The 27045-nt window shown below is 34.3% G+C and overlaps 1 protein-coding gene, 1 long non-coding RNA gene and 1 other non-coding gene across 13 annotated transcripts in view; 1 reads left to right on the top strand and 2 right to left on the bottom strand.

Annotated features, from left to right (window-relative positions):
* The window catches only part of CADM2 (cell adhesion molecule 2), a 1115441-nt gene that overhangs the window by 1010325 nt on the left and 78071 nt on the right, over positions 1 to 27045 (bottom strand). The window lies entirely within an intron of this gene.
* On the top strand, positions 1841 to 1952 carry SNORA95 (small nucleolar RNA, H/ACA box 95). The gene has a single exon (NR_132777.1). It is a non-coding gene; the product is annotated as a small nucleolar RNA, H/ACA box 95 (small nucleolar RNA).
* On the bottom strand, positions 15178 to 25072 carry LOC124906200 (uncharacterized). The gene is made up of 2 exons (XR_007096267.1): positions 24961 to 25072; positions 15178 to 22526 (listed from the first exon to the last, which is right to left on the bottom strand). It is a non-coding gene; the product is annotated as an uncharacterized LOC124906200 (long non-coding RNA).

The raw sequence follows: 27045 nt of genomic DNA, 5'->3' as shown, positions 1-27045 counted from the left end.
GGAAAAGAAGCAGCCATACCAAAACAATTGAACAGATTATGTCTACTATCCAAAGGAATCGGTTTTCCTTCAATGTCTTGTCATTTCTCTACACAGCATGAGATGTAGAAAAGCAGCAATATCTTGATGACTGAAGTGTGGAAACCTACTGGGGAGGGGACCTGAAATTACTAAATATATTTGTGGCAGAATTAATTCTAACACCCAGGAGGAAGCTGCTAATGCGTTAGAGTGAGCTGTCAGGTGAAACAGGAAATTTTTTCCATGCATTTTCTAATGAGTTTTAATATACCCCCAGTATTTATTTTAAGACATTCTGCTTGTCAAGGTGGAACTCATGTTCTCATTTACAGATAATTGACTAGTTCAAAAAATTTTTACTCCATTTCAAAATATTAATAAAACAGTCCACTTCAAGCACAATTCCCATTATCTGGAGGGCAGCTCATTAATTTCTTTTTTAAGGAAACTAAAATAAGAGAGCCCACTGAAATTTTGTACCTTCTATTAGTTGTCTTTTCTTTCATTCTCACTCACAATTCAAATTTTATAAGTTTATCCTGTTTAAGATCAAAATACTTGGATGTTTCAAAATATACAAGTTTGATAGTAAGATTTATGCTATCTTGTGTCTGTGTCTATGACATTTAGTACATGGCATTAGCTCTATTTCTAAAATCTGCTCTTTTTTGCTGATTATAACACTAAAGGCTTTTCTTTAGTTTTCTTGCCGTGGATCATCGGAGATTAAATTCAGGAAACATATATCCCAATTTAGAATGAAATTGATTTAAATCAAGGCATCTAAAATAATTTAAATTATTAGTTAAAAAGATTCCATTTAATTACATTTCCATCAAAAGCAGATTGAAGTTTGATAGAAATATAATATGTATTCTCCATGACACAGAGATTAAATTAGTTTTATTTTAGAAGGTATAAAATAAATATTTTAAAGTTTATTTTTGATTAACACTGCAATTACATAAAAAACCTAAAAATTATTATTTAATAGTACAATATTAAAGTCATTTTTAGTTTATATTGTGAATCCATTTGAAGTGTAAATCAGGTCAACAAGAGATTCCTGAAAACTGTGTTACTGATTCAACTTCCACTTTTTTAAGATTTAGACTGTTCAATTCCTAAGTGATGCCTCAATTCAAATCAAATAGTCTAAAATTCATAATTGATTCACAGCAAATGAAAAATAAAGACGGTAATTAAATAATATTTGTGTATTTCTGATATGATTCATAAGGCTGAGATGTAATTTTAAAACAATTCCATAATGAACACTAGTATAATCATCATTAGGGTTGAGAATTTTCTGAATTTTCATGTCATAGCAACATTCGTCAGTTCTTACATTTAAAGTTCTGAATATTCAAATCTTGAAAATAAAATTGTCATATTTATACTTTTTTAAAATTTAAAATATTACATTAATGTATTCCACCCCTTATATTGATAAGTCATTTATAGAATTATATTACTTGTTATGAGCTTTTTAAATAATTAAGTGCCTTTAAATAAAAATTTTAAAAATTATTTTTAGTACCAAAAAATTGGAAATTATTATTTGGTTTTTATTAGCTCTGTCCTTTAAGTCTTTCCAGGTTCTCTTAAATGGAATATTTCCGATTTATTTAGAATGAAAATATATGCAAAAATAATTTTAAAGATCATATATACTTAATTAATGTTGCTATTAATAAAAGCATAAAAGGGTGATCATAATGTTGGTTAGGTTGTTTTTCATTTATCTGTTTTTGTTTGTTGGTTTTGATTTGTTTAGGACTACCATGAGTATTTATGAGTGAGTTGTTTATTCCCCAAAACTTTTACAGGTAGAATAGTAAAGCACAGTGTTGATTGCCCAAGATTTATTTTACTTTGAAAAAATTAGAAATTTATTACTATAGCAAATGTCTAGAACTTTGGAAACAAGTTGTGTACCGGAAGCAAGAGTTTGGATATAGAGTTTCCGTGTGTGTGTTTGTGTGTGTGTGTGTGCGTGTGTGTGTATGAGTGAGAGAGAGACAGAGAGAGAGACAGAGAGAGAGACAGAGAGACAGAGACAGAGAGACAGAATGTGTGTATGTAAGCTCTTACTTATGAACTCTCCACTGATACTGATATTTCTTGAAATATTTTTTTTCTTTCTGATAGTATGTTTTTAAGAAAAAGTTCTAACAGAAGACCTAATCCTATTGCTACTATTTTGCAGATTCAGAAGGGAAGAAAGTATGAACTATGCAAATCAACTATTAAGTAATAAAAAGTATATGTGTATATATGTATATATCGACTACATTGCAATACCGAACACAAATAGACTGTATTTTACTCACATTATATGTATCTATGTTTTTCACAGCTTCATCAATGTGTCTAAGATGTACTAGGAAGTAGAACTTACACTTAGATTGCATGAAAAAAGGAGTAAATAAAGCCCTCTTTGGTGACATTCAACTAGACTTTCCATGACTGTCAACTGTAATTGGTTCACAGGCTGTCAGTTACTACTACCTGGATGCATTATTTAATAGACTTTAAGGAAATAGGATAGTTAGGAATACTCCCGATGTTGAAATGTCTGTCCTATTTTGACTTAATGAAAAATGTAACTGTTTTTCCCCAAATGTTACGTAAAACTATATCCTTTCTTATTCAAATAAGCAAACATTGAAAGGATATCTAGTACTGCCAGTTAGTATCATTAATATGAAGCTCTGGTGTAATTTATATATAATTCACACCATTTGCATGCATCCTTGCCATGGACTGCACTGTTGCATATAACTTTTAATAAATGGTCTCTCTTGAATGGTGAATGACTGGCAATGAACATTCTATGTTTTTATTGACAAGGGTATATTTTCATCACGAGAAACATTTTAATAATAAATACTATGCTGGAGATACATAGTTTTCAATAGAAACTACCTCTTTTAGATGGCTATGAAAGTCACAAGGAAAGTATGACTTAATTTAGATATATTTATTTTTTAAGCAACATTTTATTAACAATTGTCTTTTATTTCTGATAGGGAGTCTTTGTTATCATTATTAAAGATTAACAGTTCTTCAGCATCTGTTTCTGGTTCAGTAAGAATTTTTGTGCATTCTGGTTAGAAGTATACTCATGTATTACTATTTTTTGGATGGGATTATTTATATTATATTTTAACTGGTTATTGTTAATATAAGTAATAGTACTGATTTGAATATGTTGATCTCGTGTCTATTCACTTTATAAATATTCTTGTTAATTCTAAGTTTGATCATTGATTTTCTTGAAATTTTGAGGCTAACATATCATTTCATAAACACTTTTATTATAAGCGTGAGCCACCACACCAGACCCATAAAATATCCTTACATCATAAAATGAGAATTCCAATATAAAATGAACATTTTTAGCTATCATGTAATATTCAAAGACTGGTGTCTGTATCCTTGGCTTGAAATATCAGCAAAATAGGAATTATGGGAATAATAAACATTTTCAATTAATGATTTGTATAAAAATACTTAAAGCTTAAAATAAATATTTTTAAAGAAAACATTTTCATTTACCATAACTCCAAGGAAGTGTGTCCTGAATTCTTACAGATAGGACATATTTCGGGATATTTTAAGCAGGAATGCAAAACCAGTATTTGTTTTAAGAAGAGCTGAGAGTGATGGCTCACACCTGTAATCCCAGCAATTTGGGAGATTGAGGCGGGTGGATCACCTGAGGTCAGGAGTTCGAGACCAGCATGGCCAACCTGGTGAAACCCGTCTCTACTAAAAATACAAAAAATTAGCCAGGCGTGGTGGTGGGCGCCTGTAATCCCACTTAGGAGGCTTAGGCAGGAGAATCACTTGAACCTGGCAGGCAGAGGTTGCAGTGAGCCAAAATCGCGCCATTGCACTCCAGCCTGGGCGACAGAGAGGGACGCTAATAAAATAAAATAAATAAAATAAAAGAAGCAATAAAATCCTGGAGAGTACAAAAAGGTATGCATATTTAAGTGGGATCTTTGGGAATGTGACACAGGAAATCAGATCAGAAAGACTGAAATCGAGAATTACTGAAATTAAAGTAGGGTGAGATATGAAGGCAAAGAACTGACTTTTATCCTTGGCTCTCCTTTTAACTATATACTTAACAGGTTCATAATTTTTTCTTCTGGACTAGATTTACCCTGTTTATAGAATAATAGCTGAAATACATGTGTATTAGCCCATGTTCACGCTGCTTATAAAGACACACCTGAGACTGGGCAATTTACAAAAGAAAGGTTTATAGGACTTACAGTTCCACATGGCTGGGGAGACCTCACAATTGTGGCAGAAGATGAAAAACATGTCTCACATGGTGGCAGATGAGAGAAGAGACCTTGTGCAGGGAAACTCACATTTTTAAAACCATCAGATCTTGTGCGACTCACTCACTATCATGAGAGCAGTACAGGAAAGACTCACCCTCATAGTTCAATCACCTCCCACCGGGTTCCTCCCACAACATATGGGAATTGTGGGAGTTAAAATTCAAGATTAGATTTGGGTGGAGACACAGCCAAACCATATCAACATGACTGTATTTGTCACCAGGAATAAATATTTTCTTTGATTTACTTGTCTACTCTTAGTGTCAGTTATCATTATTTAAACAATAAAATATCCACAGAGAAAGGAAATCACACAAAAATTAATCATTCTCTGATATCTTTCACTTCCTTTACTTAGATGAATTCGTAAGACTTTAGAGAAATGCATAGTTGTTTTTTTTTTTATTTTTTTATTTGCTAGATCTTTAACAGGCTACCACTATGCAGATGCATTCTTATTTTTACTTTTATTTATTTATTTTTTGAGACATAGTCTCTCTCTGTCACTCAGGCTGGAGTGCAGTGGCGCGATCTCGGCTCACTGCAAGCTCCACCTCCCGGGTTCACGCCATTCTCCTGTCTCAGCCTCCCGAGTAGCTGGGACTACAGGCACCTGCCACCACTCCCAGCTAATTCTTTGTATTTTTAGTGGAGACAGGGTTTCACTGGGTTAGGCAGGATGGTGTCAATCTCCTGACCTCATGATCCGCCCACCTCGGCAGATGCATTCTTGAATAGACCTTAAGGAAATTTGATAATTAAGAATACTATATATTTTTAGTATATATAATGTATAGTATAGAATACTATATAATTCTATATTGTTTTGCATAATATTTTTCTGTGTTATATATAAATGCTATATATTTCTATAAAATATCACTTCACAAAGTTTAAACAAGTATAATAGAAGACAATTATAATCTAAATCTATAAACAATCAGTTATAAGCACCAATACTACATTTAAAATCATTTTAGCTGGGCGCGGTGGCTCATGCCTGTAATCCCAGCACTTTGGGAGGCTGAGGTGGGCAGATCACCTGAGGTCAGGAGTTAGAGACCAACCTGACCAACATGGAGAAACCCCATCTCTACAAAAACATACAAAATTAGCCAGGTGTGGTGGCTCATGCCTGCAATCCCAGCTACTTGGTAGGCTGAGGCAGGAGAATCGCTTCAACCCAGGAGACAGAGGGTGTGGTGAGCCAAGATAGTGCCACTGCACTCTAGCCTGGGCGACAAGAGCAAAATTCTGTCTCAAAAAAATAAAAAAAGAAAAAAAAGAAAGTCATTTTAACAACAACAACAACAAAAATTCACATATCAAAGAGATCTCAAAATTTGTTGCCTATGTGCACTCAAAAGTAGATATATATATACACATACTTCTACATATGCATATATGTATACATAACCTCCCAGATTTCTTTTTACATTTTCTTGAACTAGGAAGATCCTTTTTTAAATGTAACTAGCTTAGAATTTTTATGTCTGCTAAATTTATAATAAATTTTAGTTTCATTACCTGAACAAACTAGTTTTACACCTCATAAAATTTACAGATTTATAGTAAAATAACTTTTCCCATAGTTTACATACATGTGCATTAGTGCACACATACATAGCAGAGAAAAAGACAGAATATAATAATTCCATTCAAAGAATCTGTGAGAAATGTTTGCTACACCAATTTAAGACTAATCAATTCAACTGTATTTTAAGAGTGACAAGGCTTTTGAAAAATGTCTAATACCTACCATCGGGAAAATTCTACAGTAAAATATTTTATGAAAAAGCAAAAGTTTCTGGGGAAAATGCAAGTGTACTGAAAAACAACCCCACATGTTAAGGCTTCTGCAAAAATGCTCCATCTTTAGGATGCCTGTTAATCATCACATTTCTAGAAACAAGATGTGAACTATTCAATAAAGGAGGGCTTCAGTTATTGTGTAATAGAAAGCATCAGTGGCAGCAATTTACTGTATCAAAACTGCTTTATTCTAGTTTGTTTTTGATTAGATTGTGCTACATTTTCTGCTACTGTTTATCTGTAAACAAACAACTCTGTCTTGTCCAACTTTGAACATTTAAGTATGGACATTATGATTATTGTAAAACATGTTAATGACAAAGAAAAAAATCTCAAGAAACAAACGGTATCACATCTTGAAAAACAGATTCTATATTTAAATAGTAACTAACATCAAAGTTAGTAACTAACATCAAAGTTAGTATATGATGTTAGTATACTCACATCACTGTTAGTATATTCTAATATAATCATTTAATTAATAATTTTTATGACTGTCCTGATGTGTATCCTGAATTTGTGTAAAATTGAAGATTTCATAAAATATTTGTTTAAAAATGAAAGTTCTGTAACACTACAGGAAGATCCCATAACAAAAAAAAAATTCTGAAAATGGTAAGTTTCAAATTAATGATTATCCTTAGATGACATTTTCTGCTGATGTTTATGTATTTTTTCACGGCAAATATGCTGTTTGGATTTTACCAAGTATTTCTTAGATTTGATGGGTGAGCATGTTTGTGCATAATAAGTGTACTCACATATAAGTTGTTGACAGGGTTTGAATTTCATCTGTTTAAGAAATCTGTCAATATATTCTGTTCATTTATAACATTTGCCAACAATGAATTCGAGAGATTATCTGCACCAGAGATTCTCAACCTGACTTGCACATTAGAATTACATGGAAACTTTCAAAAACTTGATGGCTGAGGATTACCCTCACACCGATTCATTCTGTAACTCTGCAAGTAGGGCCTGAGCATGAGTATTTTTAAACCTTCAGAGATGATTATACTGAGCACTGCTTAAAACCAGAGATCTATACACTATATTTACTTCCTTTTTTCAGCGTCTATATGAAGTCTATCCTGTCTAAGTATAATGTCCTCCAAAGCATTTATGACTATTGTGTTATTTTCATTACAGAAGATGAGAAGTAATTAAAATAGCCAATTATTAATGACTTCTTAGTGTAAGGCATTTCACTAGGGGATATATTGCATATATCATTTCACTTAATTTTCACAACAGTCCTGTGGAGATATTAAATGCAAAAGTAAAGTAAGTTGCTCAGGGCCAAACAATGCTTTGCAAATTGCAGGGATTGAAATTCTGACTAGGTGTGCCTGAATTCAAAAGTCTTATCTTTAAGGCCCCTATCTTTTATATCTGTGAAACCCTGTTAACATCACTATTTCAATATGTACTTATAATTAAACCTGAATAAAAATTTTCATTGTGACTATTACCCTTAAAATGTTATAATTGAAAACATTAGATACAAGCAAATTCAACCCATTCCCTTGTTAAATGAAAAGAGCCTAAGACTCTGAAATTCTAAAAGCACACTTAAAATGCAAAATAGAGATAAAACCATAAAGCACTTCTTCTCACCATCCATCCTGTGTTCTTTCTACTGCCCCACACTGTCCACTCTCATTTGTGATGAATTAGTACTGCATTTCTTTAACAGATGACACTGTTTAAAAAATTACCTTGCAAAGGTGAAGTCATCAGTGGATACTAAGAAGAGAAAGTGCTAGATATACACCAAAGAACTATCACTTAAGGAATAATTAATGTGTATAATAACTTTCACCTGAGCAGTCCAGTGATCTCATGAATAAAAATGCTACTGTTCACATTTATATGGATTTGGTTTATATTCACAGAGACATGAAGAGCCCTTAACTGACCTTTTGTTACAATACTGGGCTATTATAATTTGATTTCAAACTAGTGTACATTTAAAAGTAAATAGAGTGGTGCTTCTCAAATCTTACAGAGTATGTCAATAACATAGATCCAGGTACCATGCAGCTTCCAATTCAGTAGCTCTGGGATAGGGCCTGAGATACTACATTTTTAACAAGTTTCCAGGTAATGCCAGAGCTACTCAAAGTGTGCTCCATGAGTCTCACTCCAGCTAGCAAGTAATAGAAATGTATCAGTCTATTCCCTAATATCATTAACCGTAACTCTTATTAAAATTATTTCAAAAATCTACAAAAGTTAATAGGGTGCAAGCAGGTATCTGCAATGGAAAATGTACCCTGCTGCAGAGGACAACCAGTGATAAGAAGCAAATAAACCTATCATAAAAGCTCAATAATGGACATACTACCAAAATATGCATATAAAATGTGTAAGAGAATTGCCACTTGAATTGAAAAGGAAAGCACTTAGTGCATGCAAGTTTTTAATAAATCCTACCTGATGATGACACCAACTTTCTAATAATGTGGATGATGATGGAGGGAAAGTAAGGCATGCATGCAATTTCATTTTATTAACTTGATGATATGTCTGAAAACAGATTTTTCATGGCTTGGAAAAGAAAGTTTCCACGGACTACACTGGAATAAGAAGCATGCCACATGAATAGTTTCATGTCCTTGATCTATGTGATTAAGCCCTAACATGTGGTTTTAAAGTTCTATGAACAGTCCATTGAACTCTCAGTTTTAAGACTACATAGTTCTTTCTCATTTATCCAAACCTTGCATAGCTAGCTCTGCTTGCCTTTTAGTTCATTATTACGAGTAAGAATGCATTGAATGAAAATGAATAGAATGATGGCCCTGTGGGGTCATGGCAGAAGTACAGTGACAGGACCCATCAAATTCAATAGTTTAAAACACTTTCAGTGCATTAGGGACAAAATGAAAACACTTTCAGCACTGGATATTAAGTATATTAAACTTCTATTTATAAGGCCACAACTACTGCATGCTGTGGTAGTCATAATCATTTTTCACAGCAGCAAAGCCTCTCAAATATTTAATAAATATTTCTCAAGATCCATATAGACTTGAGGCTATTTACTCAAGTACTTCAAGCATCAAAAAGAGAAGCAATTGTTTCATGTTTTTAAGTAGTGTTTCCTAGCAAGTCTCATTTATCATCCAGAGTACTTGCACGTCCTTCACCAAGTTAAAGTCTATGTCTGTACATTTGCTGGCCAAAAATGGTTACAAGAGCTCTTCTAGCTGGATTCTAACCAAAAGCATTCAAGGATTTCCAAACATGACATAGGAACAAAGATCGCATTTCTCCTTTTCGACTAGTACCAACTTTGTTTCAAACAATTTTAATAACCTCATAACTGCTCTACTGAAGCCATGCTTTCCCTCTTTAATCCATGCCATATAATTCATAAGACTAGCCTTCCTAATAGGTAATTCCATGGCTCACCTACTCAAAGCCCTTAATTATCCCTTGTCACCTATGGAATTAAATACAAAATGTCTAAGCCTTAACAAAGCCATGTCATAGATCCCCCAATCATATTTCCAGAATTATTTCTCAGTTCATTGAAGTCTTCATTTACTATAAGCCTTATATTTTTCCTCCTTTCCATTTTCTCCAGCTGCTCCCTGTACTCAGAGAAAGTCTTCTGTCTCTGCCAATTCAAATAATTCCCATCGCTCACACCTATTTTAAATACCATCTCCTCTCATCCCCCATGAAACTTTTTCTGATCCTCCAATTAGATAAGCTTTAAAATTTCTCTTCCTTTCTTCTTGTTTTAAGTCCTTGCACTCTTATGACACTGTTTTTAATTCAAAGAACCTTTATTATATCTGCCTTACATATAATAGGCTCTCGGTAAATACTGATGACAACAAATTTTAAGGATACACTTCTTAAGGTAGATGATTAGTGTGATAATTAAATAAAGCATTTTGAAATTACTTTGCTCTTTTAACAGAAGAAATATCACAGAAGGTTCTTTGCAATCATGAGGACTACAGGAATCTGTTCTGTTAAAATAAGAAATTCAATTAACTAAAAACATTTCCATCTGAAAAGAGACCTCAGATTTTGATTGGTTGTACTAATTAAACATGAGGGTGGCAGCCATTCCAGATGGTAAAGACATATTTATACAAAGTTTTACATAGTCAGAGAACTTCAGTGTAAGGAGGGACATTTAAGTTCATCTAGTTTAAGCCAGCATCTGAATCATTTTTTCTAAAAACAATTCTCCGATTCCAAACTCTACTTAATCCCCTCCAAGAACTGGGTATTCACTATTTGTAGAATGGGCCTTTTTGCTTGAGGAACAAGTTTAATTTCTAGAACATTCTTCTTTATACAATATCTCTATGGCTCATTTGCCAAAAATTATTCTCTTTTATGGGAGTCACTCATCCATTTTTCACCACAGAGCCTTAAGTGTTCAAAAACTATGGTTGTGGTCATCATAAATGTTGTCTTCTAACTTAACACTCCCAGTTCTTTCAATTAATTTGTCATGTTTTATTTCCTTCAAATTCTTGGTCACTTGTCCTGTATGTGCTCTCCAGTTTATCAATATAATTTTAAAATACAGTCCCCAACTGCAGGGATAGGACAAGGAGAACAAAGTAGAGATAGCATGATCACCTCTTGGTGACAGTGTATTATATTCTTATTCATCCAAAGTTCCCATTACTATTTTTGACAGTTTTATGACATAGCTAACTACTTTTGATCTTATAGTAACTTCAAACTTTTGCTTTAGCTCTGAACATTTTAGCCTTCATTATATAAGTTAAATAATTTTTTACTAGTTTGGCAAATACTTTGCCTATCATTAGCAATTTTGAATCATATTTGATATTCCACTGGAAAATCTTTGATACTGGTATTTGTCTTCTAGAATCTTAAAAATGTGATTTGTTTCTTTAGTACAGTACTGGTCTCTTCATATTAACCAAAGTTTTGCATTGAGAGCCAAATGAGCTATTCTAAACTGTGCCAAAGAAGCTTACTGTAGCTATTCAGTGAAATTAGAACAAACAAGAAAATTTGTCACCACATATAATGCAGCACTAATTCATTTTTCATGTCTGAAAAATGTAATTATATGGTTTTTGTAATATAAAAGACATTGCTGTATATACTTAACATAAACATTTTGCAAATCTAAACTAATTGAAATACATGTTTTAAAAGTAGAATGGTTTTAAAATTACAAGTTATATAAATTAGGAATTCAAGGGAACGATTGAAAAACACATTTTTGTTTACTCCAAGGGCAAACTGCCTTATAAAAATGACTTCTCTGTTCCTTAGAATTTAGAGTTGATTTTTTATTGAAGAAAATGGCATTGGATTAGACCAATATACTGTAAAATTAGTACTTCTGTTAGGTGAGGCAATTGGTTACCTGAGAGTGTGGCATATTTTGCAAAAGAAAATGAACCCGTGTGGCCAGAATCAAAAGACCCCAGATAGAGTTTGAGAATCACTCAATTTAATTTTGTCAAGCAAACAGTTATCAAACTCCTGTATAAAACCCTATTGTACAGGGTTTGTGGAGTAGGGTAACAATATAAGTCAATGGTAATACTTGATTTATGTCAGTTGTTATTGGAAAGAGAGAGAGGGTTGGACATGTTGCTGTAGCCTAATCCATGTTACCAGAGATTTTTCTCGATTCATCTATAACCTTAGCTTCACTGACATATTTAATTGCATTATTATCCAATCGGGGAAATAGCTTCAATCACAGTTGAATCATAAATACATTTCAGTAATTGCATCTAGCTATAAAAGACTATTTTAAGAGACATATGATTTGGAATGAGGGAAAGTATTGTCATATCATGGGTTTTCTCCTCTAGATTTTATATTCAGATGCCATATCCTGGGCATGGAATATGCTAGGCAGTTATTGTGAAATTCCAGATTTGGTTTAGCTATTCCAATTACATTGCAACTTCCAGAACTCTTGGCTCCTCAACCCCCATTTCTAGGCTCTGGAATGCAAATAGTGTAATTTAAAAAATCCCTTCATTTGCAATATCTCAGTGGGGAGTTTGCATCCTAGCAATCCCACAGAAATAATTTCTTAGCTTTACTTCCCCCCAGGCCCAATGCCCCGTTTTCTTTTCTTTTAAATAATGATATCAAATTAAAACAAAAATTTAATGCATTCTGGAAAAGAAATGATTTGACAAAATAATTGAAATTTGCCTCATGGAGAGATAGATGGAAATTTGTGGAAAGGTATGGAGGGCGTGTCTACCCCTTTTGCTTTCAGAGGAGGCTAGGAGTTATTTCTGGGTAATTTAGATACATACTGGCACTTAAATAAATTCATTGGTAGTGATGCCACCATTAGTAGTCTTCTTAAGATGCTGCCAAATCATCAGTAACACAGCTCCCCCCGTCCCTACAATGGGATCTTGGATATTCATTTCAGTTAGCTATACTTTGGGAGTAGCTTTGACCTTGATAAAAATATTTTTAAATATCTCCAGTGATCGTTTCAACCTAAAGTACCTATATGTATATATCCTAAGATTCATGCATTTAATATGATTGCAAGGTATTCATGGCTGCTGGTGAAGAAGCAATCTACAGTTAGTCATATGGTGAAGATCTCTGTTCTAATAGATACAGTTGAATAGCCTTCATAAACTTATTTTAAAAATGGCCCCAGCCATGATAAAATCTTTTGGGGCTGATAATATGAGGTAGGACTTAATTTTTTCAAACTATATTTAGAGTCACTTAATGACGTTAACTTTATACCTAGAAGGACTTCTACAAAGTTTTTGAATGTCAGGGCAGCTCAAGTGACAGATGAGGAAGTCATCAAGCCATTCTGAATCCCAGAAGTCTGGCTAGTCTCCACATAAGCTTTGGAAAGGCCTCGAGCCTTTTTTGCTCTTCCTTTTAAGAATAGCATGAAGCAGGCTGGCAGGCTTTTCAGCGGCAGTCCTTGTATGCTCCTTCATGCCAAGTCTAAACTGACACAAGAAAGGAGTACATCCCTGCAACCTTGGTCATCAGTACCTAGAATATGTAACTTGAAGAATTCAATACTTCTTGTCCTGTGTTTTCAGACAGCGATTATGTATCACAGTCATAATTTTTAAAGGATTGGAGGGAAGACTGTGGAAAAAGAATTAAATGTAGTTTCCACAATTTGAATACCTCTTATTAAATGTTAAGAATATAGAATTAGGTGCAGATATCGCTTGTGGCAAATTTTTCTATAGTTATCTTAAATAACTGAGGTTAATTCCATTCTAGAAATGCATCTGCTACCTACAGACCATATTTTAACATTTGTGCAAGCCATTTTATTTCTAGATCTCTCACTTCTCTACTTCCTCAATTTTAAAATGCATATACTATCTCCTTTCCTACTTAATGTTTTTAATATCAAATGAGATAAAATATATTTAGAAAATTGTAGAGCTCTCTGCAAATGATTGCTGATTCATTATAATAAGTCATGGAAAAATCTTTAGCTGCATTTTGTTCTGGTCCATAGCAAACTTTGAAGTTTTTGACATATTTCCGGAGTTTTCATTGATATACTTTGATTATTTTATGGTATTTTCTATTTATTTTAGGTCAGAGCTGTGCAACAAGTGTTCTGCATGTGGGGTACAGGTGTACTTCAGTATATTGACCCTTTTACTCCTGGGTTCTAAGGCAGTTAGAGCCTCCTACCTGGTCATCTTTAGCCTTAAGCAGCCTCTGAATTCCTACAGGAGTTATTGGAGACCAGTGGCTTCCTGGTCAGTGAGCAAGATGAGCAATGTTCACTAATACATAGCCCCCAACAGAACACCGAGAGCAATCTTGGATACACTCTGTTTCCACAACATCTGCCTCAGGGTCCCCATAAAGATTATATTGATTCCCAAGAAGGCCGATGAAATGACTGAATAATTTTATTTTCCTCGTGGTCAAGAAGGTGGAGTCAAGAAGGAGTCCAGCCCAAGATATGGCCAGTGGGGAGATGGTGAGGTAAGTGGGGAACTTCTATTAAATGTAGCAGCCTGAGTATAAGGGAAAAAAATGTGATATTAAATTACTGAAAGTTATGCTACTGAAAAAGTTGGATGAGAATTTAATTATCTATCTAACTTTCATCATATTATTAGTTTTCAGGAACAACTGAACACCACATCACCTAGGTGTTAATATTTATTTTTTAAAGCTGTTTTCTGCAATCTAAATATAGATTCTATGCAGAATTTTAAAGAATTCTCTCAGATCACAAGGAAACAAATAAATTAAAGAAAAATATTTGCCAGGCACAGTAGCTCATACTTGTAATTCCAGCACTTAGGGAGGCTGAGGCGGGCAGATCACGAGGTCAGGAGTTTGAGACCAGTCTGGCCAACATAGTGAAAGCCCGTCTCTACTAAAAGTACAAAGAAATAGCCGGGTGTGGTGGTGTGAGCCTGTAATCCCAGTTACTCGGGAGGCTGAGGCAGGAGAATGGCGTGAACCCGGGAGGCGGAGCTTGCAGTGAGCTGAGATCGCATCATTGCACTCCAGCCTGGATGACTGTGTGAGACTCCATCTCAAAAATAAATAAATAAATAAATAAATAAATAAATAAATAAACTAAACCTGCAACAAATGTAGGTTTAATTATCTCCATCACTTCTCACACTTAAGTTCTTGAAAAACTAGTTTATATTTTTGTATTACTACTTCACTTTCAATTCATGAGACCCAGGGAATTTGACTTCATTTTTACTACTTCACTGCAATTGTTCCCACTAAGATCGCTAATGATCTAAATGCTGAACCACCAGGCCAATTAGCCATTATCCTCATCGGAATGAATCACTCTACCACATGATACAATTAACCACTGCCTTTTTCCTGAAACTTTTTTAATCCCCTACTTCATTCTCACTAAGACTGTGTTTTTCCCTTCCTACCATCCATTATTTTTCCCCTAATAAACTTTAAATGCTATGTTTCCATATATCCAATTCTTGGCCATCTTTTCTTTCCATTTTCCCTCTGAATACTACTTCTTGCTGATTTATTTTATGCCCAAGATTCAGCTATCATTGTGCATTCTGTATTTTCTGTTTCCAGTCTATACCAAACTTTGGACCCATTTGTGGCTGGTTACTTGGTATATCTTTTTATGTTTCATGGAATAGCAAATCACCTACCTCAAATGGAACTCATCATCCTGTCTTCTATATTACCTGCAATCTTGGGAGTTCCCACAACAACCACCTCTTTCTCATGCCACATGTAAATGATCGCCACGTTCTCTCAATTACACATCCTAAGTATATCTTGATAATTTTTGAGTTTTGTTTCTCACTCCTCGTTGAAATTGTCCTAATTTAAGTCCTAAGGGTACCTAGGCTTGATTATTGCAACAATCAAACTGACTTCTCCTGAAGTTTAATTCTCCTTATGATATTTTATCTCTGCTGCCTCAACAGTCTTTCTTGGTTACAGCTGTAATCATTTTATCTCTTCTCCTAGCATCCAAACTCCTCACCATGGGATATGAGCTCTGGGAAATGTTTCCTTGTCCATTTTTATACTTATCTTCCATACACAGATAAGAATAGTTTTAGTCACTTTATGCTGTCTCTCAAATTTGAACACATCTGTCTGTAATACCTTCCTCTATCCCTTTTGTCCAGTAACTCTTATTGATTCTTTAAGACAATGTCAAAATGTGCCTATTACATAAAACAAAACAAATCACTCTCCTACTATCTATAACATAATGTACTACTTTATTTGTGAACCAATCATCTTTTTTTCCATACATCGTCTTGGCACTTAACATGCTGAATCTGAACTATTAGTGCAATAAATTGGGAGTTCCTTGAAAAAAAAGTATTTGGAGCTTTATTTTTCTTTTCCCGAAAATATAGAACATGGTGCTGAGCATATTATGGATCCAATAGGTTTCTGTATAGTAGATATACATTAATTAAAAGTTGGGGCTTTAATTTCAGACTTGTGTTATTACTGTCACTCTGCAGAAAACTTGCACATCACAAAAACAATATATTAGCAGCAAAGGCAGAAAGTCTTCTGCTTTGTTTGATGAGAAGAAGTGTAAATTCTTACATTTCTCAAAATTCAATTTGTATGTCATATTCTTCTTGATTATTCAAAAGTGGTCACGGCTGAGATATGAGTGACTTTATGTAAGCTAGTTTATAAGAATTGGATATAGGAGTTCAAGTAGACCATTGGATAAAGTATCTCCTAATTTTTACCAAGCTACTTATCCTCATTTTCTTATGCATAAAATAAATGTTAGTTATAAAACCATTTGTGAAAGTTAAAGATATACTGTATGTAATGATGTTAGCCTTGTTTCTAGCATACAGTATGTATTCAATAAATTTACTCCCTTTTGTGATCTTCTCTCCCATCACACATTGCAGGGTCTTGCTCCTTAATTTTGTTTCTATTTTTTAATAAACAATATGTAAATTTATATGAGAAGTTCCCATTATTGGAGAGATAATTGACAAATTAAAATAGCCTTGGGGACCTCCTTATTGTAATTTCCATTGTTGCAAATCCTTTATAATCTATTAGCATAATTGTAGAACCTACCGTCAGGATTTGCACTATACCGTGTTCTCTGAGTATAAAGAACTGGTAGGTCACGAAGGACAAAAATGTGGTGTGAGAGTGACCAGCAAGGGTGTTCTTGCTCTACAACAGAAGCAAATGCAGTGTCTCTGGTGACAGATCTAAAGGAAAAGGGCTGGAGCCAAGGAATATGATGACAGAAATTTGGATGGGGTTTACTGCACAAGGGAATGTGATATAAAAAGAAAAGTTAACTTATGGAATATCTTGCAAAATCTTTTTCAAAGTCACTTATCATATTGCTTATTACATACCTTGATTTAATGGGTTCCATCTTATAAAAATACATCTGCAGAACCTTTTATGTCTTATTTTTTAGGACATGATAAGCTATTGTTTATTATTTTAGAAATTTGGTAAGATATTTCTGGAGTCATAAAAAATTCTCACCTATATGTATGACGTGTATTGATCACTGAAAGAGAATATATATTCTAATCACTATTTATGCTAATGTAACAACAGTCTTTACATGTAATGAATAGTATTTAAAAATATATATTTTCATGATTTAATGCTTTGTGAGGTAATCCTTGGAAAGCATTTTAAAAACATTAGTCTATCCATGAGAATTACTCTAGGTAAATGTAATTGCAAAAGAGTTTTATATTAATTTCATAATTTTTCTAAATTATATTTAGTCATTTTTAATTGTCACATAACATGAGAATTTTAAGATGTTATCCTAAAATTATAGTTCTTAGTAAAATCATCCTTTGATTTATTCTTTAGAGATAAGGCAAATTTGCATTTTTCTACTAATTAGTAGATGCTTACATGCTGAAAAATATCATTATAACTTAGTATTGGCAACTGATATACTGTGTTTTACACTTTATAAGATACAATCACCAAAACAAACCAAAAACTATAATTGACCCCGTGGGATTTTGCTGTTGGTTGTGGAAATGGTAGTTTAATTCCATGCCTGGGGTCACAATGAATTCATGGATCTGACTCCAAAAAAAAAAAAAAAAAAGAAAATTGTAAAGGATTTGGGAATATGGCAGCTGAAGGAGAAGTAAAGATTTGGTTTACTGAACCTTTGTATGCATTTTGGAATAACGCAACATGATAAGGTCCTTTGGTTATTTTAAACAAATCATCACCAGAGGCCGATTGAATGAGTATGACTTATGACTGGCAGTGTAGTCAGAATTATTAAACTTCCTTAAAAATAATTAGACCTCTCAGGAATGGGATTTGTACACATTGTTTGCAAGTTTCTCAGTGCATAAACCGCTACATACAATCAAAATGCAGATAATACAGTTTTAATTAACATAACCACCTGTTCTGGATTCTATTCACCCACTTTTCAATCTTTTGGGATGTTCTTTCAACTAGAAAAGACACTATCCAATGTTCCTAAGATGTCTACTTAGGGAAGCTGCTGAATAGACCAATATGAAAAATATAAAAGAGAATATGGAATGTGTTTTTTAGTTAAATTATATGAACCTTTTTCCAATGTATAGTTATTAAGAGGAAATATTCAAGTCATGTTCCAGGAAACTGATATCACATATCTGCTTACATCAGGGGAGTGTTGAATATTTGTCAACATATTCTTGTGTGAAAGAGCTCTAAAAGATGTCATCAGTTTTGTTTCCCACCTTTATTTGATTGCACATTCATAGCAAAAAAAAAGGCTACACATTCTCCTCACGCATGCATAGTTTTATCTGTGAAATATACACATATACTGCCTTATTCACTGATTTGGAACATTATAAAGTATACACAAAATCTATCCAACCCTGAGATAGTAGTATTAAAATAAATAGAAATACCATTTCTAATAATTTTTCCTACACTAGAAGAGATTGTCTTATACATAGCCCACATTGTAAAATAAAACATACCTATATCAAAATGCATGAGCACAAAGAAGAAAATGTGTAAATGAGCTAGACCAAAAACTGGACACATTTTAAAGAGTTATCTGATTAGAACACTCTGTTTTCTACTGTTAAATTTGTATTTTATGTAACTCATACATAACACAGAATTGCCAGGTTAGGTCTATCACAATTTTCTAGAAAGAAACAAGAATTCCAAAACTGAAATAAATCTTGCGCCACATTAATAGCATATTCAGCTTCAGGATTTCCTCCAGTGTCCAACGAGTTAAGGTAAGATAATTAAAGCAAACCTAGGTATCAGAATAAATGTTTGAAAGATACACAGAATGACAACATCACATGTGTGATAAAGAAATGGGCTTCTGGAAACCAACAATAAACAATCGAGGCTAACGGTCAAAGATGAAGTGGCTTTTTAAAGCAATGTCTTATGCACACCTGGTCATATAGAAGTAGAGTGTGCCAGGCTCTGTATCCAGTGACAGCTATCATGAACCAAAGGACATTCTTTGTATGGGCCCAATTTTGAAGAATGTTGGAAACATATCAGTTTGAGGGATTATTTTTTCTAATCCATATCCATTCACTAGCTGGCTCTCTATCAGTTGAGAGTCTTCCAAAAAAAAAAAAGAAAAGAAAAAAGAAAGAAAGAAAGAAAAAGACACTAAAACTTTTTTATAAATGGGATATTCTTAGCTTGGATGCCAAATATCCACCCAAGAATTTCACTGGTTTTTTCTTGGCAACTGACTTTCCTGGAACCATCTCTGTCTGGTTGGTAATTCATTCCTAAAAGGTAAAAACATTGTACAATATCTTAGCCCAGAAAAGACTTGGCAGAAAGTATAAGAAGGAAATGTAATCTATATCAAAGGATATCCTCATTGCTGAGAGGAAGCAATTTTACAAAGTTGGTACACCAACCCCAGCTAATTTCTTCTGGAATGTATCCCTTCATAATGCAGAGAGAACAGATCCTTCCAACTGACCTAAAATTCTCTGTGAAAAGCAAGTTTCATCATTCAGTGCTATAACAAATCATCACCTGGCAGAAAAGCCAAACTGCTTTGAGGATTGCATTTTAAATCTCACATTACCCAGGTCTTTTTTTATGGTGGGGGGTAGGGGGATTAATTTCTTTTACTACTGAATAGATATGACCTTGTATTCAGTACAGTTTTGGCCAACTGCTCCTAATAGGAAACATGCTTCTTCTCACCCATATGGAATGCACAAATTTTAGAATCTATTCATCTTAAGTCATAGGCACAGGATCATTTGTAGTATTAGGTGGAAGGACAGATGTTTTGGTTGGCAATAAGCTAAGGTGAAGCAAGGTGGTTGGATGATCTAGTTCCTTTCCCTACTTAGGTCACAAGGATTCTGAAGGATATTCATTAACCCTGCTGAACCACTGTGTGTTCACATTGTGAGTGAACACAAGGAGATTTAGAGGCCCAGGTACATAGTATGACATAATGTTGGGGAGAAAGCATGCTGCCTATTTATGATAGGAGCTTTTTTTCTGGTACTCAAAAAATTAGAAGTTTGGTAGCATTCATATATACTTCTATTGCATGGATATTGAATTTTATATGATAGATAATAGCAAAAGTATGGTTTCTTCTAAGTGGCTTTGTGTACCCCAGACAAGGATAATTGTAAATTTGACCAGAAAAGGAAGACAGTATTGGGGACTTAAGGAGAAACATATGGTGCCTGAAGTTGTCAGACCTTTTATTTATTTATTTATTTTGAGACAAGCTCTCACTCTGTCACCCAGACTTGAGTGTAGTAGGGCAATCACAGTTCACTGCACTCTCAAATTCCAGAACTCAAGAGATCCTCTGAACTCAGCCTCCTGAGTAGCTAGGAGTATACCATCCCTAGTTTTCTATTTTATTTTATTTTACTTTTTTGAGAGATGGGGCCTTACGAAGTTGCCCATGTTGGTCTCAAACTCCTGGCCTTAAGCGATCCTCATGCCTCAGCCTCTTAAAGAGCTTAGATTACAGGCATGAGCCCCTGCACCCGGCCTAACAGACATGTTCATGGTCATATACGGGCCCATACATCTGAAGGAGTTAGGGACATGGCACCCTATAACATACCCATATTTGGCATATTGATTATTTCAAGCTGAAGAAAATGAGAAATAGTTGCAGAAAGGAGTATCTGACTGGCCCCTTCCTACCTGTAGCAAGCCATAAAATTGCTTTTAAGTGCACCTTCCCTGCATGAGACGAGAAAATAATTCTTATCACTAAAGACTTGGAATTGATGTTGCAATGGATCTGTACAAATAAAGTTACTAAAATAACCCTTATCTTCCACTAGCTTCACCCCCCACCCAATATCTCCCAGGGGCTTCTCCATGATTTACTACCCCTAGCTCAAATGCCTTTGTGTTGTCATTTCTTCATGGAAGTACCATTTCTTTGTCTAAAAAGTATAATACGTTTCTGCTTTGTCTATTTCTTCAGGTCTTCACTCTCTGTGGTGGATCCCTATGTGCATGTACAAATGAATAACATTTGTATGTTTACCGCCTATTAATCTGTCTGTGACAATTTGGTTCTTAGACTCAACCAAAGATCCCAACTAAGAACTAAAAAGATGGTAGAGGTGATCTTGAGCCTCCTCCCTACACCATTTTATAATACCTTTCTTACATCACCAGGAAAGTTGTTTGGAAGAGACCTGAGACTGCTAATATCCATATGCAGCTATTCAACTAGTTGGCATTTAAGCTATTCAAAACTGTTCTGCTGTAATGCATATAGAGACACTTTCAATGCTATTTATTTTAAAAACAACGGATAATAAATTGTTCCTTTGAAATTTTGCAAATGATAGACATGGAAAAGAAATGAAACCCGGTCAAAAAAGTCTTAGTCATTTATTGCAGAGCATCTAAAAAGAAATGAAAACACACACACAATAAAAGAAAAAAGCAGAGTGGAAAAAAAATATAAGGATGTCAAAAACCCCTCAAACTTCCATAAAAGGAAACTATAATTAATTTAGCATTCACTAAACAAGCATTGAAATAGCCTTATTTAAATGTGAGCCCCCGTCTAAAACATAAAACATAAAAATAAAAACATAACGTTGAAACCAACAATTCTGTTTCAAGTTTGAAGACTGCTTTCATGCTCAAGACGACTAATAGCTGGGTTGAAGCTGTTGTTCTCAAAAAGAAAGCACAAAATTAATGGGCGCTCACTCTCCTTGTTGCCATTTGTTTTCCTGATTTGTAAGCAACACACCCCTGAGTATGCATTGATGAGAGTGGGTACGCAAGAATGGAGAGACGCTGGAGAAATTATTTTTGGCCCCTGATGAAGAAGAGTGACTGATAGGGTAATGTAGGGTAATTACATTCTGAAGGAATGTACACCAATATTTAAAGCTCATTTCTGTTCAATATTATGCATGTGTGAAACAAGCCTTTTTTCTCCTTCAAATGTTCCTTTATAGTTTGGTGCCTATTACAGCAAATAGCAGAAAATAAGCAAAGTGACAACTGTCACTTACTGTAAGACTTTTTTTTCTTTACATTCTGACACTTTCCATCATTTCTACAATTAGCTTATGGACCTGGCTGAAAAGCCACTGCCTGTCTGCCACGGCACAATGAAAGTACGAAACAGTAACACCATTTTCTTCCTGACAAAGATGACAAACCTCCCAAAAGGATAATTTCTCTCTGGGGATAAAACCACACAAGGCTCTGAATTGGATCTGGTTTAAGAGTCTTCTGAGCCTGAATGCCAATTATGCAGGAAATTGTGCAGGAACTAGTATAGATGACTAAATCCTCACTCCTTGAAGTTAGAAAGAAGAGCCTTGGTACCTGGAAGACAAAACAGAACATATGCACTACATATAAAGGTGGAAAAGTCATACGATTTAAGAGCATGAAAGATACAAGAATAGGATATTATAAATGCATTCTCTCATTCACTTCCGTTTCCTCTTCGGACTCCCACTTCCGTCTTTCTCCTATTCTTACTCCGTCTCTCTGTCCTTTGCCCCCCTCTCCACGCAAACACACAACTACAAATTCAATGGAGAACAAACTGTTCACTGTGCGAATTTTTTAAAAATCTGTGTAAATATAGATATATGCCTAAAATTACACCCTGATAAAAATTTAGAGATTAAAGAGGAAGCAAAAAGATGAAATATAAGGCAGATTTAAGTTGCTAAGCAACTTGGCGTTCACATGAAATCAGATATAGCAATTTGCTTTGGCAAGACTACACAATAAGTTTAAAGAAACAAAACCAGTTATTAGTTTTAGAGACTAAGTAATTAAAGGAAGAAGAATTAAAAGATTGAACTGAATTAAGTCGGTGTTTAACATATAAGAATACAACCAATTTGTCTCAGAGGCCTGAGGGTCCAAACTGATATTTAATTACAAGAAAAAGATGACTGTCAATTTGACAAAGGCAAAAATAGATTAAAATATGATACTGTATTTAAATCTGATATTGTGCGATGAGTTTGACTTCATGCCAAACTCCTGTAATATTATTTCTTACATCATGTAATAAAATGCTCATGTAATAAAGACCACCTTGACATAGATTCTGATTTATATATTCTTTCTTCTGGGTCTAAAGTATACCATCTCAGCAGATATTAAAGTGCTGAATGTAGTGAAAATTTATCACTTTGTTTCTGAAAGAATTAAAATATGCATTATTATGAAATTTCAGGACTGTGCTTGTGTTTTTGCCATTAGCTACCATAATCAGAATGCAAAGTAGCAGAACATCTATTCCAACCATGGGTAATCTGCTGTTTTATAAACACCAGAGTAAAACAGGATTAAACCTATTGTTTGTTTGTTTGAGATGGCTTAATTCTCCTCTAGCGACTAGCCCCTTGGCTTTTTTTTTTTCACCCAAGAGAATATTTGGAAAATGAAAACAAGAATTGCAATCTGTAAGTGTTGCTCAGTTTCAGACGCTAATCTGCATTAATGAGTTTCTATCACTTCAGTTGCAGGTAACAGCAGCAGTGGAACAAAGATAGACTTGTTGATTAAAACAAACAAATAAACAAACATGCTAACAAAGGCAAGGAACAAATAAATTATTTAGAGGATCTTCCAAGTACGGCATATTTAATTCTCTGATCAGCTTATGAGCCTGAAATCTGCATTGACCCAAGGTCTTTATAGGTTTAGTGATTTCAGTTTCTCAAATCTAGAGTCAATGTTTGGAAAGAATGGAAACCTAAAACGTTCTTTTAACTACACAGAGGCCATCTATCCTTCATATTTTTCAAAATCTTTGCACAGAGTGTTCTCTTCCTTTTAGGTTTATTAGTAGGCTCAGAATACTCAATATTTGTGTGCTTATATTTCTCATTCTGTGAAAACTCATGGAATTTTACCTTCAATGAACTGAGAATGTTAGAACTACAGTCATACTGCCTGAAGGTTTGGTCTTATGGAAATCAGCCTAAGGTTTGAAGCCTTTGCTTTTTATTAAGTATAAAGGAAGTATTAACTTTTGGCTGCTGAAACTATTGCTGGGTGAAGCCGTTTTTTCTTTTTCTCCCTCACTGTTATTGCTACGCAGTTAAGAGGAGTAGTAGCAAGTAATAGGAGCTCACTGCGCTTCTTGATGTTGAGTGTGGAGGACAAGGTGCATGATTTATCTTTCAGTATTTAAATTAACTAGATGCTGGCAACATTACAGATGGAACACACTTTCCTACTGGTCTCATTATTTGCTACTTGCCTTTGTAATTTTCTTTCAAGATAGATAGTATACATGGGACTAAAAAGAAAATATAGATAGATTAAGAGGAAGGCAGGGGACAGTAAAAATTAATGTTTGTATGTTGTATGTCCTAAAATACTGGTAAAATACATTTGTCTTTATCAGTATACCATAGCTTTAAGAAAATGTATGCAATACTTGAATTATTTGGAAAAGCTAAAACTGTATTACTAGAACTATAAGGTGGAGGGTGAATTGTAAGAAGGAACTAAGGTACTTAGACTCTTCTCACTAATAATCAGCTTAAGCCAAAAAAAAAAAAAAATACATTATCTTAGAAATCACAGAAAAAGATTCTCTGACTGGACATGATCTGTTTTCTCCTGTGTTAAGAATCTTATTACAGCCAGGTATGGTTGGGGCTCAGCACTTTGGGAGGCCGAGGTGGGTGGATCACCTGAGGTGAGGAGTCCGATACCAGCCTGACCAACATGGAGAAGCCCCATCTCTGCTAAAAACACAAAATAAGCTGGGTGTGGTTGCGGGTACCTCTAATCCCAGCTACTCGGGAGGCTGAGGCAGGAGAATCGCTTGAACCGAGGAGGCAGAGATTGCACCATTTATTGGCCTTCCTCTTCCTCTCTTTTCTCTCTCTCTCTCTCTGTGTTTATAAGAAAATAATGAAAACAACATAAGTATATAAAATTATGAAGGAGTTTAAAAAATAATTTTAGAAGCACATTTTTGATACAAACTCCTCCATTCAGTATGGATTTATAATGACAAGGGGATGAAAAAGTTGTTACATTTGCATTTATTTATAATGTAGATAATTGCAAGTTGGAAGATTATTTTTTCTTTTATCTTGGCATTATAGTCAACTCTGGGGAGGTCATCACATAATTGTTTATGTGAAAATATTCCCACTAGATTATAATTGAGTGATTTGCTGATTATTTACTATATGCTAAGTAGATCTTTCATTTATCCCCACTAAAATCAGCTTAAAATGTTTAAATAACTAAATCTAGGCAACATGCTAGTAAATGTCAAAGACTAGATTGAGTTCAGGAATGTATAAATCTCAAGTCTCTGCTCCTAATCATGGTCCTTTCATTAGCATCAAAGCCACCTATTGGGCTTGATATAAAAAATGTAGATGCCTAGGTCACACATCAGATCTAAGGAGTTTACAGCCTGAAACAGGCACATTTGATAATTCTTAAACACAGTGCTATCCACTTATCCCTTGAGACCCATAGCATAAAGCAGTTATAAAACACAATGAAGTAAGCCAAACTACCTATGTATTAAGTGCTTGTTATATTCTGGGATGTGAACTAAGCTAACTTTACACATATCATATATTTTCTTATTTAATTTTCACTAAACAGTCTGTAGTATGCATAAGTGTCCTTTACTTTATGTGTGAAGAAACCACTGTGAAGAAATTTGCCTCAGGTCTCACAAAATGATGATCATACGCTGCTCTTTTTGCTGCTTGGCACTCATGCTTAAAATTTGTGAAACTGAAATTGAACTGAATTTTCAAAAATTTAGAGGAGGTTAAGGAAATTATGGAATCATCACTTAACTAAGTACTAAGAAAAGACCACAAACTATACCAGGCATTGGTATTTTTACTTTGCTTATTTTAAAAAACTTTTTCTGTTCCTCACTGTAACGTCCAACTAAGAACTCATAACTATTTTTTTTTTTTAGTTTTCCGGCCACCAGTGAGGCTAATATTAGCCTGGTAAATACATTTGTAATTAAAAAATGGGATGAAATGGAGAAAGAAAAAGTTAAAGCAAGAAAGTATATTGAAAAGAAATAATCAAGAAAGGCACAGAAATTAAAAAGAAAGAGGATATAATATTCACCTCTAGCTTGAAGGATGACATTCTTATATGCAGAGACTGCATGTAGATTTGTGTTTTAAATTGTTAAGTAGCCAAGTTTTTAGGAAAGACTCTGTCCCAAGGCATATATAATGCAATAAGATAAAGGGGACAAACATAAAGAAAAGCCCTTCTTAGTAGGAGAGAAAAGTCTACCACACAGTGAGGCCAGATGATATTCTTTTAAAGAAACAGAATGGAGACTCCCACCCTCCATGCTGCTGTAAAGATAGAAGGCATTGCAGAGATCATTTGAAAATGGTAACAAAAGATCATTGCATCTCCTGCAAAAGCAACTAAGAACAGAAATAGAAAAGGCAAGAGTAACATATGGTTAGTGATCTCTAATCTAGGCCTAGAGCTTGTACGTTCAAGAGTGAACTTTGGGCAACCACACATATAAATAGTGAGTGTCCTTGCAGATGTAACACATTGGCTTTGATCTGGCAAATCTACATGTCCACTGCATAAAGGAGAAAATATGAGAAGCACTAGCAGGGAAATACGAGAAAGATGGCTAACAGACACCATTCATATGTACCACTATAACTACTCTTGGCTACAGCCAACACTACAATGACAGTAAAGCAGAATCATATCTTTTTGTTTGTTTGTTTTTTTTAGAGATGGAGTTTCACTCTTGTTGCCCAGGCTGGAGTGCATGGCGCAATCTTAGCTCACTGCAACCTCTGCCTCCCAGGTTCAAGCGATTCTCCTGCCTTAGCCTCCCAAG

The sequence above is a fragment of the Homo sapiens genome, chromosome 3, assembly GCF_000001405.40.
Source record: "Homo sapiens chromosome 3, GRCh38.p14 Primary Assembly".
NCBI lineage: Eukaryota > Metazoa > Chordata > Mammalia > Primates > Hominidae > Homo > Homo sapiens.
This window is presented reverse-complemented; position numbering and strand designations above follow the sequence as displayed.